This window comes from Homo sapiens, chromosome 18 (assembly GCF_000001405.40).
Source record: "Homo sapiens chromosome 18, GRCh38.p14 Primary Assembly".
NCBI lineage: Eukaryota > Metazoa > Chordata > Mammalia > Primates > Hominidae > Homo > Homo sapiens.
In genome coordinates this window covers 48,138,610-48,157,135 of record NC_000018.10, presented here as the reverse complement: position 1 = coordinate 48,157,135, position 18,526 = coordinate 48,138,610, and the positions used below count along the sequence as shown (strand labels likewise).

At 47.2% G+C, this 18,526-nt stretch overlaps 1 protein-coding gene across 17 annotated transcripts in view, besides 1 other annotated feature; it reads left to right on the top strand.

Annotated features, from left to right (window-relative positions):
• The window catches only part of ZBTB7C (zinc finger and BTB domain containing 7C), a 385,914-nt gene that overhangs the window by 255,450 nt on the left and 111,938 nt on the right, over nucleotides 1-18,526 (top strand). The window lies entirely within an intron of this gene.
• Nucleotides 17,599-18,098: an enhancer, noted in NCBI's record as "H3K4me1 hESC enhancer chr18:45665409-45665908 (GRCh37/hg19 assembly coordinates)". NCBI's record gives its function as "activates a minimal SCP1, AML or CMV promoter by ChIP-STARR-seq in primed H9 embryonic stem cells {active_cell/tissue: H9 hESC(primed)}" and the evidence as "EXISTENCE:reporter gene assay evidence [ECO:0000049][PMID:30033119]".

The window sequence follows — 18,526 nt, the reverse complement described above, 5'->3', positions numbered from 1 at the left end:
AAGCTGTCTAAGGTCACCCAGAGAACCCTGCTTGACCAGAGTTGGTGGCTCTACCCTCTCCCACCCTTTGAAATGGCAGCTTGCCTACCCTGGACCACTGGTTCACTCTCAGCTAAAATTCTGGCCTGTATTCAGAAGATGCCTTATTCCACCACCAACACTAAAGGTTGGGGAAAGCCTCTGAGTGACAGGCAGGGGCACTGCCTTTCAAACTGCAGCCAGAGAGACCCCTAATGGGGTCCACTCTCCATCCCCAATCCTGGTCTCTCCTCTCTCTTATCCAACATCACTCGCTCTCGGGGAAAAAAAAAAAGTGTTCTAAGGGGGACTTAAACTTTACTTAAATTTGACATTCCCTGCTGTTCCTTTCTGAGTACCTTTATTTTTCCCAGTTGAAGCAAGGAAAGAGAAAAAGGTATAATGATGGAAATGGACAGAATTTGAGTGCAGGAAGTGCCATGAGGCTTCCTATTGTTTGGGCAGTGTTTGATGTTCTTAAGAATGTATACAGAATTAACTTTGATCAACGATAGTAGCTTCAATCTGGTGGCTCCATCGGCCAATGGAAAGTGAGTAGTATTTTATACATGGCAAGGACACAGCCAAGAAAATGAAATGATCAGTTTTGTGTGTATCCCACTTTACTTTTCGAGTGCTTTCCTTCACAGACAAGCTCTAACTGAATCCTCACAAAGATCCTACAAGGCAGGATTTGCCCATTAGACAGACTGGAAAACTGATGCCTCAAAAGAAAAGGGGCGCATTGTGGGTTAGTGAAGACACCTAAAGAACAAAAAAGCGGAGCTCCATGGGACTGTTGTATTTCACCCTCCTCTTGGCTGCCAGCATCTTAGTACTAAGTCTATCGCCATGCCGTGTCACGTGGGCAGGTCTTCTTGGCATTCATCTTGAACATGACCCAAATCCTGGCTCCATCTTCCCTCTTACTTTTCCTTTGCCCCATTTTTCTTCCTTATTTTTTATGTATGTTTACCTTGCCCTGTAGGCGCATTTGTAAGCTGGCTCAAATCCTTTTGGGAACAAGGTGGGTTATAAATGCACACGTTCCTACACAGGATGTTGTTAGTCATTTCATAAGGTCTCTTGTGGAGGAGATTAGCCAATAGCTTCTTTTGTAACCTTAGGCACACCCTCCTTCCATAAGGGTCAAGTGAGAGTATGGGTCTATAGGGTCTGTGAGGGGCCCAGCAACTTTGACAGGCTGAGTATTCTTCTATTTCCAACCCGGTTAGAGTCACACAGTACAGTTTGAGATAAAGTAAGATCTAAAAATCTGGTTTTTCTAGTCTAACCCTAGATTGGTTTGCACTAAACTAGTGGTAGTTCTCAGCCTGCCCAGAGGAGTGAAATATAGAATGCAGGCACATCCCCTTCCTGCAATGAGATGACCACACCACACAAATGTCATAGCACTGAGAAGGAAATCGTTTACATTTCAAAGAAATAAAACCCTATATAACATGTAAAGAATATTAGAGTTGGCCGGGCGCGGTGGCTCACGCCTGTAATCCCAGCACTTTGGGAGGCTGAGGCGGGCAGATCATGAGGTCAGGAGATTGCGACCATCCTGGCTAATGCGGTGAAACCCCGTCTCTACTAAAAAAAAAAAAATACAAAAAATTAGCCGGGTGTAGTGGCGGGCACCTGTAGTCCCAGCTACTCGGGAGGCTGAGGCAGGAGAATGGCGTGAACCCGGGGGGCGGAGCTTGCAGTGAGCCAAGATTGCACCACTGCACTCCAGCCTGGGCGATAGAGTGAGACTCTGTCTCAAAAAAAAAAAAAAAAAAAAAAAAAAAGAATATTACAGTTACAGGGAATCCTCATTTATTTGGCTACCTCTTGTATCTGGGACAGAGCCAAGCACCCGAGAGAAAAATAAAACAATTTTTGTTTGGAACATAGGACAAATGTTCCTGTGACAAAAGAGGTCAGAGAATACATACCCCAGCACACTTCCTTGGGGCCCATGTCACATGGGGCCTATTTGCTCCTATTTCATGCACAATTTTAACATTTAGTTTTCTAGTTTCCAAGCCTACATGGGACCAGATGGCAAATGAGAATATAGGGTAAGGGACTGCTAATGAGAATTCAGTTATGCACCAGCTCTTCCCACATTTGGTGGCTCTAGGAGGCAGCACTGGGTGAGGATTGGCATTGCTGGTGAGAGTTTCTCTGGGTTCCTATTATGCAGACTTGACTTCTTCAGATCTTTTAAACAATTCCCATAAAGAGACTAGGACTTGAGCATTTAGCAGTGGCAATATAGCTCAGAGTGTGACTCATTTAATCAGAGGACACAGATGCCAGCCAGGGGCACTTGCAGGTGAGACTTCAAATGAGGCAGTGGGAAAGGTTGGGATGGAGGGTGAGGGCGAGTGCATTATGGGATGATGCTCACTATAAAATGGCTAGTGAAGAACACAGGGTAAAAAAACTGCCTTTATAATAGAGTCCTAGACACATCAAGTTTTCCATAAGGTGTCTATATTGCTTTCAAGACTTAAGAAGCACAAAGTTTTATTTTCTAAAATGAAAGGAAATGCCAGACCCAAAGGGACTGTTAAGTCGGGAGAGGGAACCCTTAAAGAATTGAACAGGGCAGATTTTGGAGACTGCCATGAAAGAACGGCAGCTATAGGCTTGGTCTTGCTTTTGGTATACAGTCAATGGCTACAATCCTCTGGGGTTCCCCTGCTCTCCCTGGTTACAGCTCGGGCCTTGTCCTGTGCCAGAGAACAGTCCCAGGGCTGTGCCCCTGCCTGCAGAGCACTCCTCCCCCGCTCAGGTATCCCTAAGGCTCTGGATCATCTGTGAGAGCTGGGGTCTATCCTCAGACTGCTTCCTCCTGCCTTGATTGACCTCCTGGCCATTCAGATCCTTGATTGACCTCCTGGCCATTCAGATCGATTCCTGACCCCTGGTCACGCCTGTCTGTCAGGACCCCAGGTGACAGGGTCGCAAGCCCAGAATTGTGCCCAGCCCTAACCCCTGCTTGCTTACTGGGTACATGGGCAGTGTGTTCTGCTGCCAGAGGCCTCTCAGACTCTGCATCCAGCTGTGGCCTTTGGACTTGACATAGCTTTCAGAGACCTCCCTTTCCGAGTTTCCCAGCCATGACCCTGAGCCACAGCCATCACCCTGTCCACTAGTCACTTCCTGACCCTTTCCTCAGAGCTGGCTGTTCCTACAGCCTCCTAGGCCCTGGGGCTTCCAGAACCAAGTTCAAAACCCTGAGAGGGGAAGGACTGAGGGAACCACCATTTTCACAGAGTGTGTGTATTCCCATATTTACTCGAACCTGTCAAGAACATTTCATGAGGCCAGGAGCTTTGACCTCAAAGAACACAGCCAAATTCCAAAAAGATATAGTCATACCTCTGAGTGTATCCTGGAGTGTGTGGCTCAGGGTGGACCAATTCACAGTCCTATGGCCAGTGGCCAGTGCCCCTCTTTTGTAAGACTTTTGAAATTGTAGCAATATTTTTGGATCATTCATCAACATCTTGGTACTGCCTGACATATATAGCCCATGTTTCATCCATGTTTTCTTTTCTTCCCTTCTTCCTTGCTTCCCTTTTTCCCTTTGGACCATGGCAGGAAGCTCCCTGGGTCTTTCTCATGCCCTAATCATCATGCAGACCCCAACAAGGAAGGTTGTACCTTGTACCTTTGTGCCCTGAATTACCCAGGGAGAGGCAGAGAAACAGAAAGAGAGTGGGTGCAATCTAGCTCCTCTCCCTCTATTAGCTGACCTCAGGCAGATCCTCTAAACTTCCTTGTACCTCAGTACCCCATCTGTAAAATGGGCATGCTAATCCTCACCCTAAAAGCTTGTGGTAATGGTGAAATTAAGAAAATGACTATAAAGCCTTTTATATGTTGCCTGGCTCATATTAGATGCTCAGTAACATCTAATGAACAATTAGCCTGGATAATTTCAACTGTATGTGCCTCCCTATGCCTTTAAAGGCAAAGGGAAGAGGAGAGTTTTGATATTCAGAGTCCAGCCCTTTTGTGGAAGACAAAGATGGGGTTGATTCTGACATCCCAACATCACTGCTCTCAAAGGGCATATCTTGCCCAGGCACCAGAAGCCCCAGCTGGGAACCCACCCTGCCTGGCTTCGGGTACCCATTGTTCCACTCAACAGCTGTGTGCTTTGGGGACAGTGACTTAACATCCCTGGGCCTGCATTTCCTCCCTTGTGAAATGGAAGTTATAGTGCTGTCCAAACCACCAGATGAGAAGTAAACAAGATAATACTTGCAAAGCGCTTAGCACAGTGCCTGACACCCACTAAGTGCTCAATAAGGGCTCATCGTGATTATTTTCAAGTGTGTGTCCCATCTTATGCAAGAGACAGCTCTGGAAAAGTTGCGAAACCAAATCCCGTTTTCCCACTAACTGACTTCATCACTGCACCAAGACTTTATCTTTGCCTCTGATCATCTGTGGAGGGCAGTGACTCTGAACACCTCAGCACCAGGCTTCCTGCCTCCTCCCAGCTCCATGATCTCCTTCTCATGCAATGGAAAAATAAGAAATGTAGGTGGCATGAATAATGATTCTTTATGATACCTATTTGTTAAATGTAGATTTGTTTGTTCTATTCATGTATCAATCATCTGTTCTATCTATCATCTGTCCATCAATCATCTATCTGAGAAATGCCACCTATGATTATTTTATCTTTCCCTACCATAGGTAAAACAATATATAATTCATACAACGAACAAATTATAGTTCTAGTCAACAACCTGCCTTTCACCTGGATTTTTTTTTTAACATTTTAGAGGTCATAAACTTTCTTGAAAATTTGATGAATACTAATGGGCTGTCTCCCAGAAAAAGGATCATACTTACATACTTGTACAGTTTTGCATATGGTTTAGCTGGGGATTTAAGGATTCTCTGAAGCCCACCAGAGACACTGTTAAGGACCCTGTGGAAGCCAGAGCCCAGCTCTCCTATGTAAACACCCTGTGTCCCAGTAGTAGCACATGGCTGATTAGGTGTGCACTGAAGCCCTCCCCACCATATTCAGACTCCTAAGACTGGCAGGCCAACTCACCCCCTTGCCCACTGTCAACTGGTCCCACCCATCCTCCTACAGTGTCCTCCCTCCTGTGACAGGGCTGGCTGGCCTGTGTCCCTCCCCTTGGCTGTCACTCACCTTTGTCCCACTGCTTCCCCACCCGCATATCTACATCTGACCTACAGTGCGAGTATGGAATGACATCTGACTGATCAGAGCAGGCCCAGGGAGGATGTGGAGCTCGAGCAGAGAGAAGAGAGGCCCAGTTGTCAAGGCAGAGAAACCACGAAAAGCATGGAAACGTGAGCTCCTAGTTCAGGGGGTGAAGTCACAGCTGGCAGGGAGATTGGAACAGAGAGAGAATGTGTTTCAAGCTTGATTTTTCCCTCCTGTCTGATTGGAGATTGAAGAACTCAGCAGTGGCAAAACGCCCTGGCCCATGAACAAGAACTCCCTGGGTTCTGGTCTTAGTTCTGGCATTGACTAGGTGTGTAGCTCTGGGCAGGTCACAGGTCGCTTCGACAATCCAGCCTCCGTTTCCTTATCTTTAGAGTGAGGAGACTGAAATGCTGGCAGCGCTGTGGTGAGACGGACTCTTTTGAACAGTGCAGGTGTCAGCCTAAGTGGAAAATGCAATTTAGTGCTATATGTTAGGCACCATGAACATGTTCATACCCCCTTTCATCCTTCTAAGAATCTCATCTAAGGCAGTCATTCAAAATATGAGGGCAGTATGTCTAAGGATGCTCATCCTAATGTTAGCTATAATACGGAAAAGGTCCCGGTGTCCCAGAGTAGAGGAGCGGTTAAGTATGTCATGCCGTGTCCACTGGTGACATTTTATGCAGCTATTAAAAGGAATCACTGTGGTGAACATGCTTCAGATGCAATCCAGCAGTTGAAAACCTCCTCCTGCTCCCATCCTCCAGCCACAACACACCTGAAGGAGGGCACTGATTCTCAACCAGGGGCCACTAACCAGCAAGGCCACACCGATCAGTTACCAGTTGTCACTGCTTCTTCCATATCGGCAGCATGCATCCTTAGAGATCTGTGAAAAATGCAGATTTGGAGTTCAGATTCTGACTCAGTGGCTCTGAGCTGGGGCCCAGGAGTCTGCATTGTAAGCATCTGTCCAGGAGATTCTGGCAGAGGATTTGAAATCCACGTACTGAGAAATGCCACCATGCTTCAGTCCTTGCACAGCATGTCCTTAGATGGCACAATCCAGGCTGTTGCACCCCTTCTTTTCATCAGTGAGATGTAAAGTCTTTATCAGGGACTTCAAATTTGCATTTGTCCTAGAACTCACTGCTAGGTAAATCTGCTAACTATGCGAGACAGAGAGCTACTTATTCTCTGCTTTGAGATTCCCGGAAACAGCATCTACAGCCTTGGACAAGGCCATAGTCTGTTTTACCCCTATTAGCTTAACAGGTCCTACCTTCTGCCTTGCTTTGGTTTCTCCTACTGTATTTTTTTTTTTTTTTTTTTTGAGATGGAGTCTCGCTCTGTCTCCCAGGCTGGAGTGCGGTGGCACAATCTCGGCTCACTGCAACCTCCGCCTCCCGGGTTAAAGCGATTCTCTTACCTCAGCTTCCTGAGTAGCTGGGATTACAGGAGCATGCCACAAGACCCAGCTAATTTTTGTGTTTTTAGTAGAGACAGAGTTTTGCCATGTTGGCCAGGCTGGTCACGAACTCCTGACCTAAGGTGATTTGCCCACCTCGGTCTCCCAAAGTGCTGGGATTACAGGCATGAGCCACTGCGCCCAGCTTCTCTTACTGCATTTGAAATCCAAAAATATTCTGAGCCACCTTATGCAGTTTCCCAAGATTTAAAGTGACTTTTACAGGCAGTGAATGTGGCCTGAGTTCAGATCCTGGCTCTGAGCTGCCATTCTATGAAAAGAGAATAATAATATACTGACTTCATAGAACTGTTGGTAAGGATTAAAAGAAATTATGCTTGCAGGCCAGGCACCGTGGCTCATGCCTGTAATCCCAGCACTTTGGGAGGCTGAGGCGGGTGGATCACTTGAGGTCAGGAGTTCAAAACCAGCCTGACCAACATGGTGAAACCCCGTCTCTACTAAAGATATAAAAATTAGTCGTGTGTGGTGGCGCGTGCCTGTAATCCTAGCTACTCAGGAGGCTGAGGCAAGAGAATCACTGGAACCCGGAAGGTGGAGGTTGCAGTGAGCCGAGATTACACCATTGCATTCCAGCCTAGGCAACAGAGTGAGACTCCATCTCAAAAAAAAAAAAAAAAGAAGAAGAAGAAGAAAGAAATGATGCATGCAAAGTTCTTAGCACAATGCTTGCCACCATTATGATTATTTTCCTATTCTTGGGGGTAAACAGTGGGTCTTTTCTTTGATGTGGTCTTTGCAGGAGGCCAAGCTCGTTGTTTTGATCTATGTAGGGGCCGTTTGGTTCTGCCCTGTTCCCCCATCCATCCTACAAGCCTAACCTTGGCCTACTGGCAAGACAGATGGTCCTTGTCTTACTGGCCTTGCAGTGGGGTGAAGGTCATTGTTCTGACCCACTACCCTGGCGATTTGTCTTGGCCCACATTGCTAGATGGGGAAGGGCTGTGGGTTGGCTCAGCCTTACGCACTGTCTCCTGGCAGTGGCATGCTGACTAGCATTAGGGGTGAGGCCAACCTCTGCCTCAGTATGCTGGAGCCAGCTAGAGAAGATGCTTTCCCGGAGGGTGTCAGAGCCCTGTTTGGTGTTGAAACAACACAGAAACTGCTGTGCTCACCCCTTCCCCATCTAGCAGTCAGCCACCCAGCCCAGCTTCTGGTCCTTCTACTCACTGTGACTCCTCACACATTACAACCACATGAGCATGCATGCATACACACACGCGTGCACACACACGTGCGCACACACACATGCACACACTCGCACACACGTGCGTGCACACACACGCGCGCACACACACAGGCCTGCCCTCATCTTCCCCATCCCTGTTACTACCCTTCCTCCTCCTGGTTAAATAAGCAGCAAAGGGAAAAGTGGGCACTGACAAAATGTGTAAGCTGGCAGGACCTAATCTAATATACAGGTGGATAACAAAACCTCATAGCCAATGAACAGGACAGGAATCTGATAACTCACAAGAGTGTGCTATAGTTTTCTGCTGAAATTTCTAAAAAATTTCTCTTCACAGCCACTCCTCTTTTGGATCAAAGGTAATCAAAGTAAGATGATTCTTCTTTACAAAATAAGGCGGGTCTCATTACCTTTGGCCTGATTACTTACATAAGTGCAGCAAGAATGGTAATCGATCACATAGGCCTTTTTAAATTTGCTTTGCTGAAACTTTTCGTAAGGAATCTCAGATTGTACCTTTGAAAGCTACGAAGCCAAGGCAAGAATTCGTCACCAGATTTTGCCTATAGCACCTACAGATTTTGGGTAGATCTTCTCTTCCTGAAGTTCCCAAAATATCCTAAGCCTCCTGGACCTGGCAGGAAGTGACCTTCTTTACTCATCTGTAATGCTGAGGACACTGTAAGCCAGGTACCAGGCTGGCTTTCCCTAGAAGATATTGTAGACTGGGTCCATCAAGTCTACTTCAGTTCCTTAAGACTGTCTGGTCATATCTGATGCATCATTTTCAAATATGACATTCCAGTCAAAGCCTTGGTTGTATAACCAGTATTTCCCATCATGTCCTGTTATAAGGAGGACAGATTCTTATTGAACTTGTGTGAATAAATATATTCCATGAAGATGAGAACATTCAATAAGAATTTCTGGCCAGGCGTGGTGGCTCACGCCTGTAATCCCAACACTTTGGGAGGCTGAGGCAGGCAGATCATCTGAGGTCAGGCGTTCGAGACCAGACTGGCTAGCATAGTAAAACCCCATCTCTACTGAAAAATGCAAAAAAAAAAAAAAAAAAAATTAGCCGTGGTGGCAGGTGCCTGTAATCCCAGCTACTTGGGAGGCTGAGGCAGGAGAATCACTTGAACTCGGGAGGTGGAGGTTGTGATGTGCTGAGATCGTGCCATTGCACTCCAGCCCAGGCGACAGAACAAAACTCCGTCCCCCAACTCCCACACCCCTCAAAAAAAGAATTTTTGAATTCTGGAGGGGTTAGGCAGAGAGAAAAAGATAAATGCTTCATTTCTGTTTTAAAAAAGCATAATCAGCCAGGCACGGCGGCTCACGCCTGTAACTCCAGCACTTTGGGAGGCCGAGGTGGGTGGATCACCTGAGGTCAGGAGTTTGAGACCAGCCTGGCCAACATGGTGAAACCCCATCTCTACTAATAATACAACAATTAGCCAGGCGTGGTGGCACGTCTGTAATCCCAGCTACTCCAGAGGCTGAGGCAGGAGAATGGCTTGAACCCGGGAGGCAGAGGTTGCAGTGAGCCGAGATCGCACCACTGCACTCCAGCCTGGGCGACAGAGTGAGACTCCTTCTCAAAAAAAAAAAAAATAGTATAATGTAAATGTTGTGAGTTCACAGATAGCTTAAGAGAAAAGGAAAAGAGGTTCCTCAAAGCTGGTAATAATATTCCAAACAATAGTCATCCTTCATCAGTTCATTCAGTCCCATGTGATTAACTCTTGCTCTGCATGGTCTTGGGTCAGCAGTTTTAAGAACCTATCAGCTTCTCCACCAGAGATTTGGAAATCCAGATTACGTTCAGTGGTATAGTTTAAAAATTACCGAAGCAGGGCTGGGTGCGGTAGCTCACGCGTGTAATCCCAGCACTCCGAAAGGCCGAGGCAGGCAGATCACTTCAGGTCAGGAGTTCGAGACCAGCCTGGCCAACATGATGAAACCCTCTTTCTACTAAAAACACAAAAATTAGCCAGACATGGTGGTATGTGCCTATAATCCTATCCACTTGGGATGCTGAGGCACGAGAATCACTTGAACCCAGGAGGCGGAGGTTGCAGTGAGCCGAGATGGCATCACTGCACTCCAGCCTGGGTGACAAGAGTGAGACTGTGTCTCAAAAACAATAAATTAATAAAAATAAAAATTACTGAAGCAACTCCATCAGAAGCCTGTACCCCAGACTACCTGGCATAGTCCCTGATTGTTGAAGACAAAGTAATCTGGTGTGTAGTTGGTGGAAAACACTTGCAGAAAACAATCAGAATAAAACAAAAACTATCAATGGATGATAACTTAAAATGGCCATAGTTAATCTGATGAGAGTGTGTTTGACAAGGAAATTTGGTGACTTCTGTGGCACATGGTGTTTTAAACAATAACCAAAATTATGACTGATGACATTATACTAGGACATATCAACAGCAAGTGTGCTGAAAATTTTCTTGGAAGTTTATACAATTTCTGAAATATACAAATAACATTTAACATTAACATAAGCCTAATTTTTTTAATATCTCCTTTTACAAGGTGAAAGAAAATTTTTTTTGAGATTTCCCAGACTGGAAAATCTAAAAATCAGTTCTAGATCAAGATTTCGTTTAGAGTGTGAAGTAGGCAATTGCGAATTGTCTGTCACATGCCGGGATTATCTAGCAGGCTAGCAAATTTTATGAATATATCATTTTGCATTTTTTATAGGTATGTGTTGTTTCATAGTACAGTTCTTCAGGTGGCAAAAAAAAGTTTATTAACATACCCAAACATATATAGCCTCTCTGTACCATATAAAAATAAGTAGCCAAAATTATATAAACTTAAGCTTAGTAATTAATGTTTCAGTAGTTTATTTAGAAATGGTCTAGTAATTAATATCTATTGCTTAATTTAGCATAGGTCTAATGTTGCAAATTACAAAAAATTTTGGAAACAATTATTAGTCAGATATTATAAAACATAATTATTATTGAAATGTCCATTTATAAAACTTTTATTCCACTTAAATTAATACACATGTTCTTAACACATATGCTTGGATTGTTTATCAAAATTTCACAATACACTAGACAAAGCTAGCCATCATCTCAAGTTATTTCCCTGTTAACTATTTTTACAACACATGCATTTTAGGCAAGTATCTAAACAAAAAATCACAAAAGCAAAAAACCTAGGAAAAAATTAAATACAAAATGTATAATCGTATTATACTCAATGCTGATAACTCAAAAGATATAGCTGGTTTTATTAAACCAGCAATATTAAATTATTCTTACTTTCCAATGGTTTACCTAAATCACATGAACTTGAAAAACATTTGGATTAGTTTCTATATTTCTGAGATTTTAAGGAATATTTAAGCCAATTTGAATAGCAGTCTTGTAAAAGATTTTATAAATTAATTTTGTAATGCTATCCAGAGGTAGAAAAATATCACGTATACATACATACATGCACACATAAACATATAGACGGACACAAATAGAGACCATCTATTTCACCTTTTATTCTGAAATTTTAGCCATGAGTTACGTAAACAGGGTAATACAAAGCTCACTGGTCTATATCTATATCATCATTGGCTCTCGTCATTGCCCCACTTCCTCTTCTTATCTGAATTGCATTTTGACAGATGGGACAAGTTAAGGTTACCTGCTCAATAAGACAGCAAAAGCTTTTTACCAATATTTGTGGAGGAGACTTTTAAGATTTTCTTTTGCCCTGATATGCAGTTGCTTAGCAGGGATTCCCTGAGTCCCTTGAGACCCGCAATCAGGGCAGGGGTCTAAAGTTCAAATTACTGTAGGGAGTTGAGGGGCTGAAGTGTCAATGGTGGGCAGAGAGATGGCAAAGGAGACATGCTGAAGGGTCCAGGGAGCTGAAGGGAAGATGAAGGTGGTAAGAGGAGGAGAAAGGAGCAAAAGCAATGGGAAGGGACAGGCCTTTGAGGGGCCAGTTGAAAGTCATTGAAGTTCTAGGTTACCCAGTAAATTATGCCAACAAGAAAGGAAGCAGACAGAGTTTGTGCCATTATTGTGGGACATATAGTCAGCAGGGCTTCCAGAAGACGGTTTCCAGTCCACTGAGAAGTTCCCACGTTATTAACTAATGACTTCTCCCCAACAAAGATGCCCAAGACTGCAACCCAGTCTCGGTTTGCCTGAGTCTCTAACCCAGATTCTAGAGCAGAGGCCTCCCCAAAGAACCAGGAATGCCTCCTCTTGAGGGTCAGGGAATGAATCTCTACTGAAAAAGAGCCCAGAAGACGTCCATCCAGGAAGATTCTTTCTCAAATAAGTACCTTTCAACCTAAGAAACCTGGGACTGTAACCCAGCCTCAGAGAGCACACTCAGAATCTTAAGAATGAAAATGTGTCCTTCAGTGGACTATCATCTGGAGCACTGGGTTTCATCAGGAGTAGAACTCTCCCATGGACTCCCCAATCCCTCAATCGGGAGTGAAGACAAAGGCTTCAAAGACACACACTTGGAGTCCTGAGTGAGAGGTCAGGGGTGCAGTGATAAATCTGAGACTGTCCAAGTCACAGCAACATAACTACTAAAAAAATTTGGCCTGGTGTAGTGGCTCACACCTGTCATCCCAGTATTTTGGGAGGCTGAGGCGAGCAGATGGCTTGAGTTCAGGAGTTTGCCACCAACCTGGGTAACATAACAAAACCCTGTCTCTACCAAAAAAATACAAAAATTAGCCAGGCATGGTGGTGTGCACCTGTAGTCCCAGCTACTTGGGAGGCTGAGGTGGGAGGATTACTTGAGTCTGGGAGGTTGAGGCTGCAATGAGCCCTGTTTGTGCCACTGCACTCCAGCCTGGGTGACAAAGTGAGACCCTGTCTAAAAAAAATAAAATAAAGGAAATGTTTTGTTTATGTAGTTGTTACATGGTAAAGAAAACTAAGAAAAAAAAAATTTTTTTTTTTGAGAAGGTGTCTTGCTCTGTCGCCCAGGCTAGAGTGCAGTGGTGCAATCTTGGCTCACTGCAACCTCCGCCTCCCGGCTTCAAGTGATTCTTCTGCCTCAGCCTCCCGAGTAGCTGGGATTACAGGCAGGCACCACCACGTCCAGCTAATTTTTGTACTTTTAGTAAAGATGGGGCTTTCACCATGTTGGCCAGGCTGGTCTCGAACTCCTGACCTGAAGTGATCCGCCCACCTCGGCCTCCCAAAGTGCTAAGATTACAGGTGTGAGCCACCGCTCCTGGCCTAAAGACTATTCAGGACTACTGCAATAGGGGTACTCCCGCTTGTCCTTGTTATATTCAGAGTTGGGCCGGACTGCAATAGGGGAGAGGGATCCGGGTTCAGCACCAAATACAAAGACAAGTACGGATTTATAGCCAAGGTGCAGAGGGTGGTGAGTGGATGGAAAATTACCAAGAGGAGACATCAAAGGTAGGGGGATCCTCGCTGAACTGACTTAACAGGATTCTTGCAGAAGGCAGGCCAACAGGTCAAGATGATTAGATATCAAGGGATGGGGGATTCTTGCTAACCGGACTTAGCAGCATTTTTGTTAAAACTGGACTAGGCAGGCCAAAGACAGGGCCCAAGGACAAGAGGGGGCTCAGAGGAACCTGTCTGAGGTTTATTGAAGGAGAGAGTCTTTGTCAGCTCTTAGGAGCTGACAAAGGGAATGTGGGTCATGATGACAGTTTGCAGCTAATGTAGCCAGACCTCAGCTCTTGAGGCTGCCTAGACCCTCAGGGATCCTGGCTTGCACACAGTAAGTGGTAATTTAATATAAGGTGAATTAGTTGTTTGTCCTAGGGTGAGGTTCTTAGTGCATTTTTTTCTTAGTTTTCTGTGCATAAATGTTCTCTTAAAAACAGAAAGTGTCTTTAGAAGCACAGAATTAAATCTTTCCCCTGCTTTGGAGGTAAGTGCCGGTGACCCTGCTGGAGGAAGAAAAAAGCACTCCCCTGGGAGGCAGATGGCCAAGGTTCCACTGCAGCAGCTCCACCTGTGCTCCCAGTGTGACCTCAGGCAAGTCACCTCCCCACCCTCAACCCCACTTCCTCACTGTATATGGGAGCTATAATGCTGCTCCTGGCCCCTGAGGGTGGGGAACAAATGAGATGAGAGGCTGCTGGAGATGGAAAAGTGGTTTGCCTAAGGATGGGGCTGAATGATCTGGACTCACCCACCTGAGTTCATGGTAGATGTTTATCTGTTTATTATCTTTCCCCTGCTAGAAGAAGGTCAGCTCCATAAGGGTGGAGACCACGTGGATTGTTCACCACTTTATAGCCAAAGCCTGGAGTGGTGTGGGGCACAGAATAGGTAGTACATACCTGTGAAGGGAAGGAAGGGAGAGAGGAGCAAAAGGAGGAGGAAGGGAGAAGGAAGGTGAACAGGAAGGAAGAGTCAAGAAGGGAGAGAGGGAGGAGTGAAGGAAGGAGGGAGGAAGGAAGACAAGAGGGAATCTGCCTCCCCTAGCTAGTGGTGCCACCCCCTTTCCTGCCACTATCCCACCTTGGCCAAATTCTGACCAAGCCCTCCTCCTCTGGGATCCATGGTGACAGGCCCAGCCACCCCAACTCCTCCCCACAAGCCAGGCTTAGCTGAAGCTCCTGCCTGGCACCCTCCCCTCCTCCCACAGTGGGTGCCTGATGGTGTTACCTGATACAGTCTGGGAGGAGGGTGAGGCCCTGGCAGCCCTGGGGCCCTCAGGCTGTGAGCAGAGGTCTGGGACCCCGCACAGCCTACTGTGCAGCCAGCCAGGCTAGGAGTCCTGCCCTGCACTCCAGCCTGGCAGGGTACTTTCCCACAGAGAGAACAACCCAGCACCCTGTGCTTGGCCCACACCTCCCCCTCGGAGGTTCCTGAGGGCCCCAGACAAGCACCGGCTGGTCTCCCAGTGCTCCTAAATGGGAGGCAGGCTCTGCTGGCCCCCAATCCTCCCTCTGGGGCTACAGCTCCTTGCCCTTGCCTTCCAGCCCCTGCAGGACAGGGCAGCCAAAGGCCAGTAAGCCCAAAGGACTCCATTTCTCTGGATCACCATTATGTTCTGGAAGAAGTGGAGGAGTTTGATGGAGTTTGGCAAATGGCCGATAGGTTCCAAATGGCTGGGTTGCCCCCCTAACACACAGTGGCAGAAATGTATGTAGCCTTGGCAACTAACAGATTTGGGTAAACTCGGTGACCATATAAAGGGCTGTTAAAGTGTAGCTTAGCTTCAGTTCGTGGCTCCCTGTCTGTTCTCAATGCTAAACGGCAATGCATTATTATTTCAAATTGGCATTTAATACATTTCAATAAAATCTGATCTGTGGATGAAAGTGATAGAGCCATGCCATTACAATCCACAGGTGCTAATATGCAAACAGTGGAGTTCAGAACGGTGAGGTCATAGCCTGTGATTGGACAGGAAGCCAGAGGGGCCACGAAGGAAGAGGCTTGGCATGTCCCTCCTCCCTTGAGCTGGTTCCATTTTCTTTCAGTTTTCCTCAAAATTTAATTAAACATTTGTTAAGCATCCAAGAAGTACAAGGAGGAATGACAAGTGTAGCCTGTGTTAAATGCGGTGTGAAATGTTCACTCCAGCGAGAGAAAGACTGACCCGCTGCCCACGCCACCGTGACACCATAAATATTAGCCTACCTAGTGTGATGAGATTATGGGTTACTTTCCCCCCCGCCCAGTTCACGAATTTTCTCTACAATGGAAGAATTTCATCAAGACAAGATCCAGTCCTTCTGTTTCCCAGATCTAGGATTCTCTCAATAAACACCTGTACCACACATACCTGCCTGGGGCCAGTGACATACCAGGCACGATACAGTAAGAAAAGATGCATGGGTCCTTGCCATCAAGTAGCCAACATTCTAGTGGGAGGGACAGTCAAATAAAAAAATCAATGCGAGCATGAATCCTCTGATCAAGGGTCTGAAATAGATAATGGGGCACAAGATCCTAATTTATCTATGTGGTCAGGAAAGGCCTCTCTGAGGAGGTGACATTCCTGCAAGACCCAAAGTTGGGGGAGCATTTCAGGCTGGGAAATTTGCATAAGCCAAGTCCCACAGCAGGAAGGAGAAGGAACAGTGGGGGGGGTGGTGCGGGGGGGATGCCTATCTGTGATTGCAGTATGGGGTGCAGGGAGTTTGGCGAGAGAAGGGCCTTGAGGGCTATGGTGAATAGTCTAAAGTGCATGTGAGTGCCCTATGACAGGACCAGATGCCTGTTTTAAGTGGATTGCTTTGGCAGTCGTGTGGCGTTGGGCCGAAGGAGCAGAACAGGAATGGGGCAGAGAGACCAGTTAGGAGGTGCCTGTAGAAGTCAAGGTGAGAGGGGATAGAGGCTCCGCCAAGGGCAGCAGTGGCAGAGGTGGCAGGAAGAGGGCAGGTTCGAGCTCTATTTTGGAGACAGACTTGCTGATGGATGGTTTGGCTGGGGGCGCGGGTGGGGGCCAGGAAGGACAGGGAGGCAGCAAGCGTGGCGCTGAGTTTCTGGCTTGAGTATCACTCATTCCCATGTCTGCACATCCTCTAGGATGACTTGCTTCAGCACTCTAGCAAAGGCCAACCTCCCTCTCAGCCTCCCCCTGCCTAACAATACCCTCTTGGGTTCAGGAAGAGTCATTACCCTGCTTGTTCAGATGGATAAACTGAGGCATGCATCAGCAAACCACACTGCCCCTTAGGGAACCAATTGTATGAACCAAAGAGCCAGAGCTTGAACCCCAGGTTGCCTTGAGTCACCAGAGTCACAAAGATGCAGTGTGATGTCCAATTTTATCATATGTCAGGCGGTGTGACCTTAAACAAGTTGTAAAACTTCTCTGAGCTCCAGTTTCCTTATCAGTAAGATGGAGGAAATAACAAGATCTACCCCACAGCGTGGTTGCATAGAGTGAGGGCATAGGCCCTCAGTCAATATTAGTATACTCTTTGCAGATCACAGAGCTCATACATGTGTCTGCCTCTTTATGCACGTGTGTGCAGACACTCTGTATCTGCGTGTGCTTGTGGGCACAAAGCTGTTTGTGTGCCTACATTACAACCCCAGCAGATGACTAGGCCCTGCTGAGGTTTCAAGTTAAGACAGTAGCATGTTTGCTTATGTGCTTCTGTTTAGCTTTCTGAGCCATGCTCGGTGGTTGAAGTAGGAGCTTTCGTCCTCACTGGAACATGAGTGAGTTGTTGAGTTTGGAGCCAGCTGTGAAAGTCAGGGCAGGCTTGCCGTGTGAAGCCAGCGGGCTTCCACGTGCTCTGGCTGACCTGAACCGGGAAGGCGGGGAGCCAGAGGTGGGGGCTGAGAAGGGCTAGGGCTGGAGGAAGGGAGCTGAGGAGGAGGAGGAGGCCAAAGAGGGCCTAGGAAGGAATCCAGGCCCAAAAGGAAATGCACACTCAGATCTGGAGTCTGGTGCATCCAGAGCCCCTTCTGTGGGTGGCTTTGGGAGCCTCCCCTTGCCCTCTCTCCCCACCCACTTCACTAAGACTGCTTTATGTTCCTGTTCCCAGGAGGCAGCTGGCACCGAGGGAGGCTGGAGGGGTGGTGGGGCGGGGCTCCCCACTTTGTGCCCAGAGCCATTCTGAAGGGTGTGTCCCAGCAGGGCACACACACACAGTGATTAGGGGGAGGGAGGAGTGGCATTCACTGTCCACTGCAGGACCCAGCCGGTGGGCTGGACAGCAGCCAGCTCTCCCCAGGCTCTTGGCTGCAATATCACTGGCCCTGGCACCACCCATAGCCTACCCAGACACTCCTTCCAGTCCGGGGACTGGAACCCTGGCTAGGAGGAGCCGCCTGGGGGTAAGCTGGGCTGGGCACCTCAACTCTGTGCACCCCTCCCTACAGCTTCCCTCCCACATCCCGCTCCAGCTGGGTTTGAAAAGGTGCTCCCATCCTTCCTCCTCTCCAAACAAGGCTCTGCCCTGCACTCTCTCCTTTCAGCCAGAAGCTGCACCCATAAACTGGCTCTACCTCATAGACCCCCTCCTGTTTTCTTAACTACTGAGTGAACCCTCTGAACCAGGCCAGCTGCTGGCTTTCCCCAGTGACTCCCCCTCCTGCCTCCACTCCCGCACCTGACATGCCCTCCTCTCCTGCTCCCTGCAGCACCATCTTCCAGGCCTGCCCAGCCCCACTCCTCCTGTAGCCCTGTCCCTGTGAGCCTGCCTTACTAACTGCTCTGCAAAAGCACTGCCCTGTTCCTTATGCACCCACAGGGTGCTGGATGCACCTTGCCCCACTCTCCAGTCCGCCTGTGCTTTATCTGCCCCACAAGAAGAGAGGCTCCGAGGTTGGCACCCCACTGCACCCACCCCACCTCCACCCAGGCCGCTGAGGCAAACCCTTTACGGGCACACAGCAAACACTTCTGGATTCATACTGATTCCATCCAGGTCATGTGTTGGCACCTTTACCTCCTGGGGTCTGGGAGTGGAGTGTGGAGTTAATGCTTCATTGGATATTTAACTAGTGCCTTTGTGGACAAAGGGATTTGACTTCTCAGTCTTTGTCTTGGGTGTTCCGGGAGTACCTGGTTTTTGATAAAAAGCTATGGAGTCATCCAATCTTGGAAACTGTCCACCTGCTCTGATGAAGCACCCCTGCTTCTTCCCTTCAGCACCCAATTCCCTGACCTA